Source organism: Homo sapiens, chromosome 21 (assembly GCF_000001405.40).
Source record: "Homo sapiens chromosome 21, GRCh38.p14 Primary Assembly".
Classification (NCBI taxonomy): Eukaryota; Metazoa; Chordata; class Mammalia; order Primates; family Hominidae; genus Homo; species Homo sapiens.
Window position 1 is genome coordinate 43627136 of NC_000021.9, and position 15191 is coordinate 43642326.

Here is a 15191-nt window from a genome sequence, read left to right on the forward strand (position 1 = left end):
TGCTGGGATTACAGGCGTAAGCCACCATGCCTTGCTTCTATACTGAGAAATTATTTAGTTCCTGGACTTTATCCCTTATGATAGTTCTGAGACGGAATTTTATCATAACTCTCAGGGAAAGGTTTACTTTATTATCTTTTAGGAGAATTTTACTGAAGAGGCAATTTAGGTTTTTGGAATTATATAATTATTATACTAAAACAACAGCAAAGAGCTCAGCTTAAGCTTAGCTTAAGGCTTTTACTTTAGCTAGCCAGACAGTAAAATTATGATTCTGAATAAAAGCAGCTAAACTTACTTGTTTTTTTCTGTCAAGGTACATAACTACACAGAACATGCAAACTCATCTGTTTCCTTCAGATCATTCATTCTTAATAACTGATACTTATCAGAATCACCTGGGGTGATTTTCCAAAATAAACATACCCGGTACCTATCCCAGAACTATGGAATCAGATTATCCAGGGTGCTCCCCAGCATTAATATCTGAAAACACTCCTGAGAGATGTTTACACACTCTCAACCCTGACTGTAAACACCAGTCTCTGTAACAGTCACTACAGCTGAAAAGAATTACAGGCACATTTCGTTTTATTGCATTCACTTTATTGTGCTTTGCAGATACTGTTTTTTTACAAATTGAAGGAATGTGGCAACCCTACATTGAGCAAGTCTGTTGGTGCCATTTTTCCAACAGTGTGTGCTTAATTCATGTCTCTGTGTCACATTTTGGTAATTCTTGCAATAGTTGAAACTTTTTCATTATTATTACATCTGTTATGGTCATCTGTGATCAATGATCTTTGATGTTACCACTGTAATTGTTTTAGGGCACCATGAGCCACACCCATGTAAGACAGCAAATTTAATCAATACATGCTACTTATCTTCTGATTTTTCCAATGACTGGCCATTCCCGTTTCTCTCCCTCTCCTAGGAACTTGCTATTCCCTGAGACACAACAATACTGAAATTCGGACAGTTAATAACCCTACAATGACCTCTAAATGTTCAAGCAAAAGGAAAAGATACATATCTGAAAGCAAAAGCTAGAAATGATTAAGCTTAGTGAAGGCATGGCCAAAGCTGAGACCTGCTGAAAGTTAGACCTCTTGTGCCAAACAGCCAAGTTATGACTGCAAATGCAAAGTTCTCGATAGAAATTAAAAGCTCTATTCCAGTGAACACATGAATGATAAGAACGCAAAACAGCCTTATTGCTGATATGGAGAAAGCCCAAGTATTCTAGACAGAAGATCAAAAATCATCAAAAATCCCTTAAGCCAAAGCCTAATTCAGAGAAAAGCCCCAATGCTCTTCAATTCTGTGAAGGCTGACAGGGGTAAGGAAGCTGCAGAAGAAAAGCTGGAAGCTAGTACAGGTTGCTTCATGAGGTTTAAGGAAAGAAGTTGTCTCCATAACATAAAAACAACGTGCAGCAGCAAGTGCTGATGGAGAAGCTGCAGCAAGTTATCCAGAAGATCTAGCTAAGATCACTGCCGAGGGTGGTTACACTAAACAAGAGATTTTCAATGTAGACAAAGTCGCTTTCTATTGGAAGAAGACGCCATCTAGGACTTTCACCGCTAGAGAAAAGTCAATGCCTGGCTTCAAAGCATCAAAAGACAGGCTGACTCTCTTGTTAGGGGCCAATGGTGCGGGTGACTTTAATTGAAGCCAATGCTCATTTAACCATTCTGAAAATCCTAGAGCCCTTAAGAATTATGCTAAATCTACTCTTGCCTATGCTCTAGAAATAGAAAAACAAAGCCTGGATGACAGCACACCTGTTTCCAGCATGGTTTACTGAATATTTTCAGCCCACTGTTGAGACCTACTGCTCAGAAAAAAAGATTTCTTTCAAAACACTACTGTTCATTGACAATGCACCTGGTCAATCAAGAGCCATGATGGAGAGGTACAAGGAAAGTAATGTTGACTCCATGCCTGCTAATACAATACCTATTCTTCAGCTCATATATCAAAAAGAAATTTCAACTTTCAAGTCCTATTTTTTTTAAGAACTACATTTCATAACGCTACAGCTGCCATAGACAGTGATTCCTCTGATGGATCTGGGTGAAGTAAACTGAAAACCTTCTAAAAAGGATTCACCATTCTAGATGCCATTAAGAATATTCATGATTCAGCCAAGCGCAGTGGCTCATGCCTATAATCCCAGCACTTTGGGAGGCTGAGGTGGGCAGATCACCTGAGGTCAGGAGTTCAAGACCAGCCTGGCCAACATGGAGAAACCCCATCTCTACTAAAAATACAAAATTAGCTGGGCATGGTGGCGCATGCCTGTAATCCCAGCTACTTGGGAGGCTGAGGCAGGAGAATCACTTAAATACAGGATGTGGAGGCTGCAGTGAGCCGAGATCACGCCGTTGCACTCCAGCCTGGGCAACAAGAGAATATTCATGATTCATGGGAGGAGGTCAAAATAACAACATTAACAGGAGTTCGGAAGAAGTTGATTTCAATCCTCATGGATGACTTTGAAGGGTTCATGACTTCAGTGGAGTAAGTAACTACAGACGTGGTGGCAGAAAAAAAGGATAAGTTGCTTCTTATGGAAGAACAAAGAAAGTGGTTTCTTGAGATGGAATCTACTCTTGGTGAAGATGCTAAGACATTGTTGAAATAAGAACAAGAGATTCAGAATATTACATAAACTTAGTTGACAAAGCAGCAGTAAGGTTTGAGAGGGCTGACTCCAATTTTGAAAGATGTTCTACTGTGGAAAAAATGCTATCAAACAGCATCACATGCTACTGAGAAATCTTACATGAAAGGAAGAATTAATCAATGTGGCAAACTTCATTGTTCCTTATTTTAAGAAATTGGCACAGCCACCCCAACCTTCAGTAACTACCACCCTGATCAGTTAGCAGTCATCAATATCACGGCAAGACCCTCTACCAGCAAAAAATTGTAACTTGCTGAAGGCTCAGATGATCATTAGCATTTTTAGCAATAATGAATTTTCTAATTAAAGTTTGTACATTTTTTAGACATAATGCTATTGTACATACAACAGACTACAGTATAGTGTAAACATAATTTGTATATGCACTGGGAAACCAAAAACATTCATGTGACTCATGTATTATTGCAGTATTTGCTTTACTGCAGTGGTCTGGAAGCAAACAGGCAACATCTCTCAGGTGCGCCTGCACTTACTCGTGACAATTCCAGCCAGAGCGAAAACAAACTGACTTTCATCCGAATCCAGCTCCTGGACATCACCGTCTAACGACTTCACAAAACTCTCCATTGTTTGACCAGTGATGCTGAAAAACTTCAAAGCTTTATCCTGAAAGTTTGAAAATCAGAGTGTCATATCTTTTTACAGACACTAGTGTGAAAACATTTTAAAAGTGCAGGATACAGAAGATTCTAGTTTTAATTGTAGAATATTGTAAAATCTATTCCCTCATTAAAAGTTCCCATTAAAAGAACAGAGAAAGCAGCTTGAGGCATGCAGGAGCAACAAAAACTACCCTGAAGATTGGTGGACTCTTCACACGCATAAATATGATATAGGACAAATGTACATGATGATGAAAGTAAATGGGAAGAATTCACTCAAAATGTAATAAAAATATACTAGAAAAACATGCTGCCTATTTGCTCTGGGCATTAAACCAGAGGTGTTCAAACCTTTAGCATAACTTTTTTCAAAAAAAAAAATCTTAATGAAAACATGTAAAAGAGGTAAAGACTGGCTCCTCTGGTAGTTTAAATCTTCATCACTTGGCAAAAAGCATTTCCAAGTTTGAACCTTTGAGTTACTTCCTTTGGGGTGCTAGAGTTCTGAAGAAGAATTTTAAAACCAATGTACATTTTAACCCAGTTAAAAAATTGGAAATATTTGCATTTACAAATGATATAAGAAAACTTCATGGATGATCAAATAATCTAAAACTGGGTTGTGGTGATGGTTAATGCAACTCTAAAAATTTGCTAAAAACCACTAAATTGTACATTTACAATCTTACAGTATGTAAATTAAACCTAATAAAGCTCAACAAACTTTTAAAAACACATTTAGTCTTTCCACCTAAAGTCAAACACAACTGTTATTTCTATTAGCAGTAACTAATTTCTCACTGGTTTCCTGCCACACGTCCCCCTCTTCACCTTCATTTCCAGTCATGATCACGCCATGCTCCCAGAGTCAAACACCGATCTTTTTTGGCTCCTCTTGTCCCCTCCAGGTGCCCACTCTGCCCGGCCATCGCATCTGCCTCAACTGCCACAGCTCTCATACATGTTCCTTCTTTCCCATCTCCCCTGCAGAGGGCCGAGCTCACTCCAGCCAGACCAGCTAGAATGACCACCTCATCAGTCATCCTGTGTAGACGCGATGTGCCACAACTCCACCTCCTAATCCATCCTCACCCACTGTCAGGTGAATCTTTCTAAAATTCTGCTCTTATCCTATCACTTTTATTGAAAAACCCTTAGGGAAAATCCAGTCTTCCCACCTACAGAATGAATCACCAACCTGGTATTCAAGGTCCCAAAGTCACATCCCAACCTACGTTTAAGCTTTACCTCCCCACTACTCTATGACATTAACTCTCCACTGTGTCAACTGACCTACTCACTGTCCTAAAACAAACCCACCCATTTTCTGCCATTTCTACCTATTCATCAAGGCCCATTTCAAATTTATCCCCTTCTGTGAAGTTCCCTGACAAATGCCTGCACGCATGCATACATGTGCGTGTGCACGCTCCCACACACACACATGCTCCCACACACCCACACGCTCCCACACACACGATCCCACATACACAGGCTCACAGGCACACACACTCCCCCCCCACACACGCTCCCCACACACACACTCCCACACACACAGGCTCCCACATACACACACATGCTCCCACACACACACACGCTCCCCCCCCACACACGCTCCCACATACACACGCTCCCACACACACACACGCTCTCCCCACACACACGCTCCCCCAAACACACACACGCTCCCACACACACACTCACACAGTCTCACACACACACGCTCCCCCACACACACACATGCTCCCCCACACAAACACACATACGATCCCACATACACAGGCTCACACACACACACACACACTCCCCCACACACACGCTCCCCCCACACACACACACAGGCTCCCACATACACACACACGCTCCCACACACACACTCCCCCACACACACATGCTCCCATACACACACGCTCCCACACACACACGCTCCCCCCCCACACACACACACTCCCCCACACACACATGCTCCCACACACACACACAGTCACACACACATGCACATGCTCAAACACACATGCTCACACACACACGCTGCCACACACACACACAGTTGAACCTTGAAAACAAGGGTTTGAACTGCACAGGTCCACTTACACAAGAATTTTCTTCAGTAAAAGTTACACCAAGTGTGTCTGCTGCTCCAGCCTCCCCTTCCACCTCCTCCACCTCTACCACCCTTTAGACAGCAATGCCAACCCAACCACTCCTCTTCCTCCTCCTCTTCAGCCTACTCAATTTGAAGATGATGAGGGGGAAGACCTTCATGATGATCTAACATACAAAAAATGTGTTAATCAACGATTTATGTTGTCAGTAAGGCTTCCAGCCAACAGTAGAGAGAGTCAAAAGTTCTATGTGGCTTTTCGACTGTGCAGGGGGTCAGCGCCTCCAACCTCCATGTTGCTCAAGGTTCTGCATCTATATGTATGTGTGTGTGTGTGTATGTATAAACACACACACACATCTACATACATGTATATATGTTAGATAACACAATATTCAATAAATACTATATTAACCATGAGATAATATATATAAAAGCACTTTTGATCTTCTTAAACACATGTAAAGTATTAATACTGAAGTGGTAATATGTCCACATATACCACAAGGTCTCCTGGAGAGAAGGGATCTTATTTCATTCCCTTTGCATCAGGTTACAATGAACCATATACGATAAGTATTCAATAACTAGCTGATGAGTGAACAAAAGAAAATGGAAAGATATGGACTTAGTCTTTAAATGCCTTAATAAGCTATATGCTCTAATTTACACAAGCAGTAATCAACAATATCTGGAGAGCCCACTGACCATACTTACTCCTCCCAAAATGGCCTTGACGACTTCCTCACTGCTGGAGACACCCCACAAGAGGGTACACGCTGCTGCTCCCATTTCTGTACAATACTCTGCCTGCTGCAGGAGTTGCTGCTTCGCTTCATTCAACTGCTGTCGAAGAGCCAGTTTCTCCTAAAAGCAAAACAAAATTGAAAAATAAATAATAGCATTCAACCTTGATATATCTTTATTACATTTCCTCTTTCACAAAGATATTTATTAAAGAAATGCATGTATAATTATAGAAAATAGTTGCAAATGAAAGCTAGTCCTAAGAGAACCATAATCTGTATCTACAAAAGAAATTTCAAAGGCAAAAATATTTGAGAAATATCTGAGGAAAGAACATACTACCACATTATGGTTGATAAACCCACAGAGCTGAATTCATCTGCTTTAAGTAACTACATGAAATATCTCAAGCCCCAAGTAACTATACCCAGAACCAGCACCAACCGAGGCTTCTGAACAAAAACAACCTCACAAAGCAATTTACCCAGAAAGCAACATTTCTAAGACAGGAGACTGCCTCCTCCAAATGGCTCACTCCATTGAAAAAACGCCATCTGCCAGAGGCAGACACCAAATAAAAGGCACTTGGACATCAGGATTTGTAAAAAAACAAGTACTTTAGAAAAACTCATCCTGTATAAACGTATCCTTAACTCCTCATGAGAATATTGCCAAAGGTGCCAGTAAATATAAAATACAATCTGTGAAGCTAAACAGGGAAAGAAAACCTAAAACCTAAGACCAGGTAGGAAAGATGGGAGGAGGGGCAAAAAGAAGTGTGAAGGCTGGGAGTCCTATTCATGCCCTGGTGCAGCAAGCCAGTGCCAGTCTAAGAAGAAGATGGAGGCTAGGAAGAGTTTCCTACTCTCCCACCAGCAGTGTCTGAGGTGACCTGTAGCTGGGCAAGTCTCCACCATGGCACTCTTCACAAGGGAAACACAGGGAATGGCCGTCCTGATGGCCCTCCTGACAACACAAGCACACTTCGAGGATTCACCTTGAGTGTACTGCTAGAGTGATGGGGGGCTTCCTGTCCTCTCCAACCACCAGCACCAGGTACCTGAAATTCCCTTAAAAGGTGATAGCATTTCCTGATTTAATAAGACAAAAACTGAAAAATATAAAACCCCAGTTAAATTCATTTATACCAAATGTAATTAGTTACATAAACCACAAAATTAAAGTATATTAAATGCTGTAGATTTTCTTTTAGAGAGATAAATACAAGACAAAGTAGAGGGGGCTTTTCACCCCCTGGAGGAAAAAGGGAGCTTTGGAGCCACAAATCAAAACTGTTGACCTCATAACTTGGATTAGGGTGGCCCACTCATAGTTACCTGGAGACAATGCGTTTGGCACACAGAGATTCATACACATTCATACGTATATGCACACATGTATTTAAGAAAAAAATGGCCACTGAGCCTCTGGCACATGCTAATACTGCATCATGTGATCTGTCAGCTCCGGGTTTTTAATGTCTTCATTATAGCAACAATCTGGACTCCTAGATTCATCCTTTCAGTGTACGTAGCTGAACACAAGTCATGGTGACACATGAAGAAAACTATGTCACAGCACTTCCTTTTGGAATTCTAGCTTTTCTCACAACTTAAGCTGTCTGCATCTCAATTAGTCAGGATATGGTGGTTCTTCTGCACGACCACAAAAAGACTACTGAGAAGAACCAGGAAGGACTTTGCTCACTACAGTCACATTTGGTAGTTGCAGGAGGATATTCCCCAACGCAGGGTTCCACACATAGTATAATAATATCAAAAAAAAAACAAACAAACCTCAAAGAAAATCATAGCATTCCCAGTAACATCAAAAATAAGAATAATTTTTTAAGGTGCAAGACCTATACAATGAAAACTACAAAGCATTACTGAGAGAAAGTAGAGCTAAATAAAGAGATACACCATGTTCAAAAATTGGCAGGATGTCAATTCTTCCCAAACTGATCTACAGATTCAACACAATCCCTATCAAAATCTCAGCAGACTTCTGTACAAAGTGATAATCTGATTCTAAAATTTCTATGGAAATTCAAGACAGAATATCTAAAAAATTGTCTGAAAAAGAAGAACAATGTTAGAAGACTAACAGTGCCTGATTTAGAGGAAAAAACTAACTATAAACCTACCGAAATAGAACCATTGTGGTATTGCTATAAGGATGGACATATAGATCAGTGAAACACTGACATGTCAACTGATTTTAACAAAGGTGCCAATGCAATTCAATGGAAAAAGGATAGTCTTTTCAACAACTGATGCTAAAACAACCGAATATTCATATGCAAAAAAAAAATAATTCAAAATGAATCATAGGGCCGGGTGCGGTGGCTCACACCTACAATCCTAGCATTCTGGGAGGCTGAGGTGGGTGGATTGCTTGAGGTCAGGAGTTCAAGACTAGCCTGACCAACATGGTAAAACCCCGTCTCTACTAAAAATACAAAAGTTAGTTGAGCATGGTGGCACGGGCCTGTAATCCCACCTATAATCCCACCTACTCGGGAGGCTGAGGCAGGAGAATCGCTTGAACCCAGGAGGGGGCGACTGCAGTGAGCCGAGATCGTGCCACTGCACTCCAGCCTGGGTGACAGAGCGAGACTCCATCTCAAAAAAAAAAAAAAAAAAACAGAATCATAGGCCAGGCACAGTGGCTAATTGTACCTTGGGAGGCTGAGACGGGAGGATCGAGACCATCCTGGGCACCATAGTGAGACCCCATCTCTACAAAAAAAAAAAAAAATTTTTTTTAAATAGCCAGGCATGGTGAGGCTGAAGTAGGATCACTTGAGCCTGGAAGGTCGAAGCTGAAGTGAGCCATGATCACACCACTACACTCCAGCCTAGGTGACAGAGCAAGACACCATCTCAAGAAAGAAAAAAAAGAAAGAAAAGAAAAGAAAAGAAAAGAAAAGAAAAGAAAAGAAAAGAAAAGAAAAGAAAAGAAAAGAAAAAACGAAGGGGAAAAAAAGAGAATCATAAACATAAATGTAAAATTTCTCAAAAAAATCGTTATGACCATAGGTTAGGCAAATATTTCTTAGATATCACAAAATCATGACCTATTAAAAAATAATAATAAAGTAAGTTTCATCAAAACTTAAAAGTTCTACTCTTCAAAAGATACCTTATAAAGAAAGTAAAAAGACACGCCACAGGCTAAGAGAAAGTACTTCTAATCACATATCTAAAAAAGGACTTGTGTCCAGATTAAAGAATTCTTACACATCAATAAGACAACCCAATTAAAAATGGGCAAAAGATTTGAAGAGATATTTAACCAAAGAAAACATATAAATGTGTCCGGGCGCGATGGTAATCCCAGCACTTTGAGAGGCCGAGGCAGGCGGATCACTTGAGGTCAGGAGTTTAGGACCAGTCTGGCCAACATGGTGAAACCCTGTCTCTAATAAAAATACAAAAATTAGCTGGGTGTGGTGGCGTAAGCCTGTAATCCCAGCTGCTCAGGAGGCTGAGGCAGAAGAATTGCTTGAACCTGGGAGGTGGAGGCTGCAGTAAGCGGAGATCACACCACTACACTCCAGCCTGGGCGAGAGCGAAACCCCGTCTCAAAACAAAAAAAAAAAAAAAAAAAAGAAATAAAGAAAAATGAAAACATACGACCGCAGAAAAACCTGTACACAAATGTTTATAGTGGCATTATTCATAACAGTCAAAAACTGGAACAGGACGAGCGAAGTGGCTCACGCCTATAATCCCAGCACTTTGGAAGGCCAAGGCGGGCAGATCACTTGGGGCCAGGAGTTCGAGACCAGCCTGGCCAACATGGCGAAACCCTGCATCTATAAAATAAAAAAGAAAAAAAGAAAACTGGAAACAATCTAAATGCCCATCAACTGGTGAATGGATGAAGAAAATGTGATATATCCATCCAATGGAATATTGTTTTGCAATAAAAAAGAATAAATGATGTATGCTATAACACAAATAAACCTTCAAAACATTATGCCAGACACAGAAGACTACATATTATACACATATTATATAATTCTGTTCCTACAAAATATTCAGAAAAGGAAATCTAAAGAGACAGAAAGATCAGTGTTTGCCTGGGGCTGTGCAAGAGAGCAGGGACTAATTGCAACAGATATGTGATGGAAATGTTCTAAAAGTTGATTGGACAAAATCCAACACTCAGTAATTATAAAAATAAATAAATAAATAAATAAATAAAAATTCTCAGTCAGGCCCAGTGGCTCATGCCTGTAATCCCAGCATTTTAAGGAACCAAGGTGGGAGGTTCACTTGACAAGAGAGAGAACTTGGAGACCAGCCTTGGCAACACAGCAAGACCCTATCTCTACAAAAACTTAAAAAAAAAAAAAATTAGCTGTATGGTGGCATATGCCTATAGACTCAGGAGGTTCAGGCAATTGGATCCTTTGGGCCCAGGAGTTCAAGGCTGCAGTGAGCTTTGATCACACTACTGCACTCCAGCCTGGGCTACAGAGTGAGGCCCTGTCTCTGGAAAAAAAAAAAAGAAAGAAAAAAGGAACTCAGCAAACTAGGAATAGAGGGGAACCTTCTCAATTTTATAAACGCATCTGCAAAAACCTACAGCTAAAATCATAATTAACGCTGAAAGATTGAATACTTTCCCCTGAGATCAGGAACAAGGCAAAGATATCCACTCTCACCACTCTTATTCAGCACAGTGCTGTAGTGCTGGAAGGCCTGGCTACGCAAGAAGGAAAGAGGAAGAAATAAAAGGTATACAAAGCAGAATGAAGAACTAGAACAGCCCCTATTTTCAGATGACATGATTGTCCATGTAGAAAATCTCAAGAAATCCATAAAAGAACTCCTAGAAGTCAAAAAGAGTTCAGAAAGACTACAGGGGCCGGGTGCGGTGGCTCACACCTGTAATCCCAGCACCAAGAGACCAAGGCAGGCGGATCACTTGAGGTCAGGAATTCGAGACCAGCCTGGCCAACATGGTAAAACTGTGTCTGTACTAAAAATACAAAAATTACCCAGGCATGGTGGCGCACATCTGTAATCCCAGCTACTCGTGAGGCTGAGGCAGGAAAATTGCCTGAACCTGAGAGGCAGAGGTTGTAGTGAGCTGCGATCACACCACTGCACTCCAGCCTGGGGGACAAGATAAACAAACAAAAAGCAACCACATTTCTATGTGCTAATTAAAAAATGGAAACCAAAATTAAAAACACAATACCATTTACGGTTACTCCAAATAAAATTAAATACTTAGGTAAAAATCTAATACAAATGTGTATGCTGAAAATAATTAGGTAAAAATCTAACACAAATCTAGATGCTGAAAATAATTGTAAACTGCTGATGAAAGAAATTAAAGACAACTTAAAGAAATGGAGAGACATGCTATGTTTATGAATTGAAAGATTCAACATAGTAAAGATATCAATTCTCTACAAACTGATCTACAAACGTACCACAATTTCTATTAAAATTCCAGCAAGGTTTTTGTAGACATAAACAAGCTTACTCTAAAATTTATGCGGAAAAGCAAAGAAGCTAGAATAGTTAGGGCAACTCTGAAAAAGAGGAATGAAATGGGAAGAATCATTTTATCCAGTGTTAAGGCTTACTATGTCGCTACAGTAATCAGAATAATGTATTATTGGTGCAGGAACAGATCAAAGTACCTGAGTAGAGAACCCACAACAGACCCAGGCCAGTATGACTGAATTTTGACAATGGTGCAAAAGCAATTCAATGAAGGAGAGAGAGTCTTTTTGAGAAACAGTGCTGAAGCAACTGGACAACGATAAGCCAAAGAAAAAAATATTAACTTGAACTTAATCCTCATACCTTCTACAAAAATTAACTCAAAATGAATCATAGACTTAAATGTAAAATGTAAAACTATAAAACCATTAAGAAAAAAGAATGGGAGAAAATTGTGGTGACCTAGAGCTATGTGAAAAATTCTTAGACATAACAACAAGAAAACAGTCTATAAAAGGAGAAATCAGTAAATTGGACTTCATTAAAATTTAAAACATTCGCTTTTTGAAAGAACCTGTGAAGATGAAAAGAGCAGCTACAGACTGGGAGAAAAGACTTGCAAAACATATACTCAGCAAAGGACTTCTATCTAGAATATATCAAGAGCTCAAACGCAAAAGTAAAAAAAGAAAAAATCCAATTAGAACATGGGTAAAAGACACGAAAAAAACATTTCATAAAAGAGAATACACAGACAGAAAATAAATGCATGAAATGATGCTCAACATCATTAGCTGTTAGGGAAATGCAAATTAAAACCACAACAAACCTATCAAAATGACTAAAATTCAAAATAGAATAACACCAAATACTGGTTAGGACATGGAGAAAGTGAATCACTCATACATTTTGGTGGGACTCTAAAATGGTACAGACACTCTGGAAAACAATTTGGCAATTTCTTCCAAAACTAAATGTGCACTTACCATACAACCCAGTAATTGTACTCTCGGGCATTTATCACACAAAAATAAAGACACACATTCACACAAAAACCTATACATGGATGTTACTAGTGTCTTTATCAGTAATAGAAAAAAAAACCGTAAGAACTATTCAAACTTCTTTCAGTGGAGGAATTACAACATATTGCAAACAAATTGCAACATATACATACCATGGAATATGAGGCAATAAAAATATCTAACGATACATGCAACTTGGATGTATCTGAGTGAAAGTCAGTCTCTGCCAGGCACCCATGGCTCATGCCTGTAATCCCAGCACTTTGGGAGGACAAGGCCAAAGGATCAACTGAGCCCAGGGGTTCAAGACCAGCCTGAGTAACATAGCGAACCTGTCTCTACAAAAAAAATTAAAAATTAGCTGGGCATGGTGACATGTGCCTGTGGACCTAGCTACTTGGGAGGCTGACATGGGAGGACTGCTTTGGCCCAGGAGGTCAAGGATGCTGTGAGCCATGATCCTGCCACTGCATGTCACTGCCTGGGTGACACAGTGAGACTCTGTCTCAAGGAAAAGTCAGTCGCAAAAGGTTATTCTACGTTATGACATTCTTGAGATAACAAAATTAGAGATGGAAAATGTATTAGTGATTGCCAGGGGCAAGGCAGAGGGAATGGGGTGGATGTGGCTATAAAGGGGTAGCACCAAGGAGCCTTACGGCAATGGTACAGTTCCAAGTGTGGTGGTGGTTACATGAATCTACAAATGTCATAAAATTGCACAGAACTATGTACATACATGCACACACAAATGAGTACATACAGAATTGATGAAATACAAAGAAGTCCAGGTGAAACTGGTGAAACCTGAAAGTTGTTAATTGTACCAATTCCAATTTCCTGGTTTTTATCTTCTACTATAGTTACGCAAGATATCACCACTAGGGAAAACCGGGTGAAGGGTATAGATAACTTCCCTGGACTTTTTGAAACTTCTAGTGAATCTATAAGTAAACACAAAAAAATTTTTTTGTTTCCAGTGGGATTGGACCAAAAAATTTTAACCAAAAAAAAAAAAGCTGTATAAATTTACTAAAAACTATCAAACTATACAATTACAATGCAAAAAAATTTTTGTGGTACAAAATATACCTCAATAATGCTGTTTTAAAGAAACAATAATCAAACCCTGATATATTTTCCTGTTTAAAGGAATACTCATACATAACAGTTTATCAAGCACAAAACTCCCAAGATTTCCTCAATATCTTTCTGTAGTTCATTCTGTATTTTAGCTTAACTACAATTTTTCTTTTAAAAGTTTCTTGGCTCACTGCAAGCTCCGCCTCCCAGGTTCACGCCATTCTCCTGCCTCAGCCTCCCGAGTAGCTGGGACTACAGGCGCCCACCACCACGCCTGGCTAATTTTTTGTATTTTCTTTTTTTAGTAGAAACGGGGTTTCACCGTGTTAGCCAGAATGGTCTCGATCTCCTGACCTTATGATCCGCCCACCTCAGCCTCCCAAAGTGCTGGGATTACAGGCGTGAGCCACCGCGCCCGGCCAATATTCTCCAACAGTTGTGCCTTTACCAGGAAGCTGGGATCTTTTTCCTCTAAAGTTCAAACGTTGCTACTGCCAGGACTCTTTCCTGGCCCAGCCTCCTCACATCATAAGCAGGTATCAAGACCCAGTGCACCTCCTCCACTGACCCAACAAAATCTCTGTGGAGGAAACATCTCCACCATGGCCAGGAACAAAGTCTTCCTTGTTTGAGTAGCCTTTCTCTAGGGGTTCAGAAGCTGCTTGCTCATACATCACACTTTATGATTTGGGTTCCATACTTTGTTTCTGACCTTTTCTTACATATTGAACTCAATAACTTCTGCCTTTTCCTAGTAATTTTTCACTCATACAGAAGTACTTACTAGCAGCCAGGCACGGTGGCTCACGCCTGTAAACCCAGCACTTTGGGAGACCAAAGTGGATGGATCACCTGAGGTCAGGAGTTCAAGACCAGCCTGGCCAACATGGCGAAACCTCATCTCTACTAAAAATACAAAAATTAGCCAGGCATGGTGGCACGTGCCTGTAATCCCAGGTATCCAGGAGGTGGAGGTTGCAGTGAGCTGAGATTGTGCCACTGCACTCCAGCCTGGACGACAGAGCAAGACTCTGTCTCAAAAAAAAAAAAAAAAAAGTACTTACTAGCAGTAATCTAATTGAGGATCTAGTCTCTGGATTCTTTCCTGGGTCCTCAATTCTATAATAAGTTTCCAGGGCCAGGTGCAGTGGCCCATGCCTGTAATCCCAGCATTTTGGGAGGCCCAAAGCAGGAGGATCACTTGAGCCCAGGAGTTGAAGACCAACTTGGGCAACATAGTGAGACCCCATCTCTATAAAAAAATTTTAAAAATTGTTTTAAAAATTATACAATAGAATTGTTCTTGTAAAAAATAAAAATTAATTAATTAATTAAATTTAGCTGGATGTCATGGCACATCTCTGTAGTCCCAGCCACTCTGGAGGCCAAGGAGGAGGATCGCTTAAGCCCAGGAGGTCGAAGCTACTGCAACTATTATTGCACCACTGC

At 40.3% G+C, this 15191-nt stretch overlaps 1 protein-coding gene across 17 annotated transcripts in view; it reads right to left on the bottom strand.

Moving 5' to 3' along the window:
• The window catches only part of HSF2BP (heat shock transcription factor 2 binding protein), a 214517-nt gene that overhangs the window by 182164 nt on the left and 17162 nt on the right, over positions 1-15191 (bottom strand). For 10 of the 17 annotated variants that reach the window (XR_007067782.1, XR_007067781.1, XR_007067780.1 and 7 more), the window contains 2 exons: positions 6128-6286; positions 3187-3319 (listed from right to left, as the gene is read on the bottom strand). Coding sequence is in view for 14 of the 17 variants with exons in the window: in XM_017028269.2 (XP_016883758.1) it covers positions 3187-3319; positions 6128-6286 (292 nt within the window). In the remaining 3 variants the exon portion in view is untranslated. The remainder of the gene's footprint in view (positions 1-3186; positions 3320-6127; positions 6287-15191) is intronic. The other 7 variants (XM_017028267.2, XM_047440675.1, XM_047440678.1 and 4 more) reach the window with 1 other exon arrangement.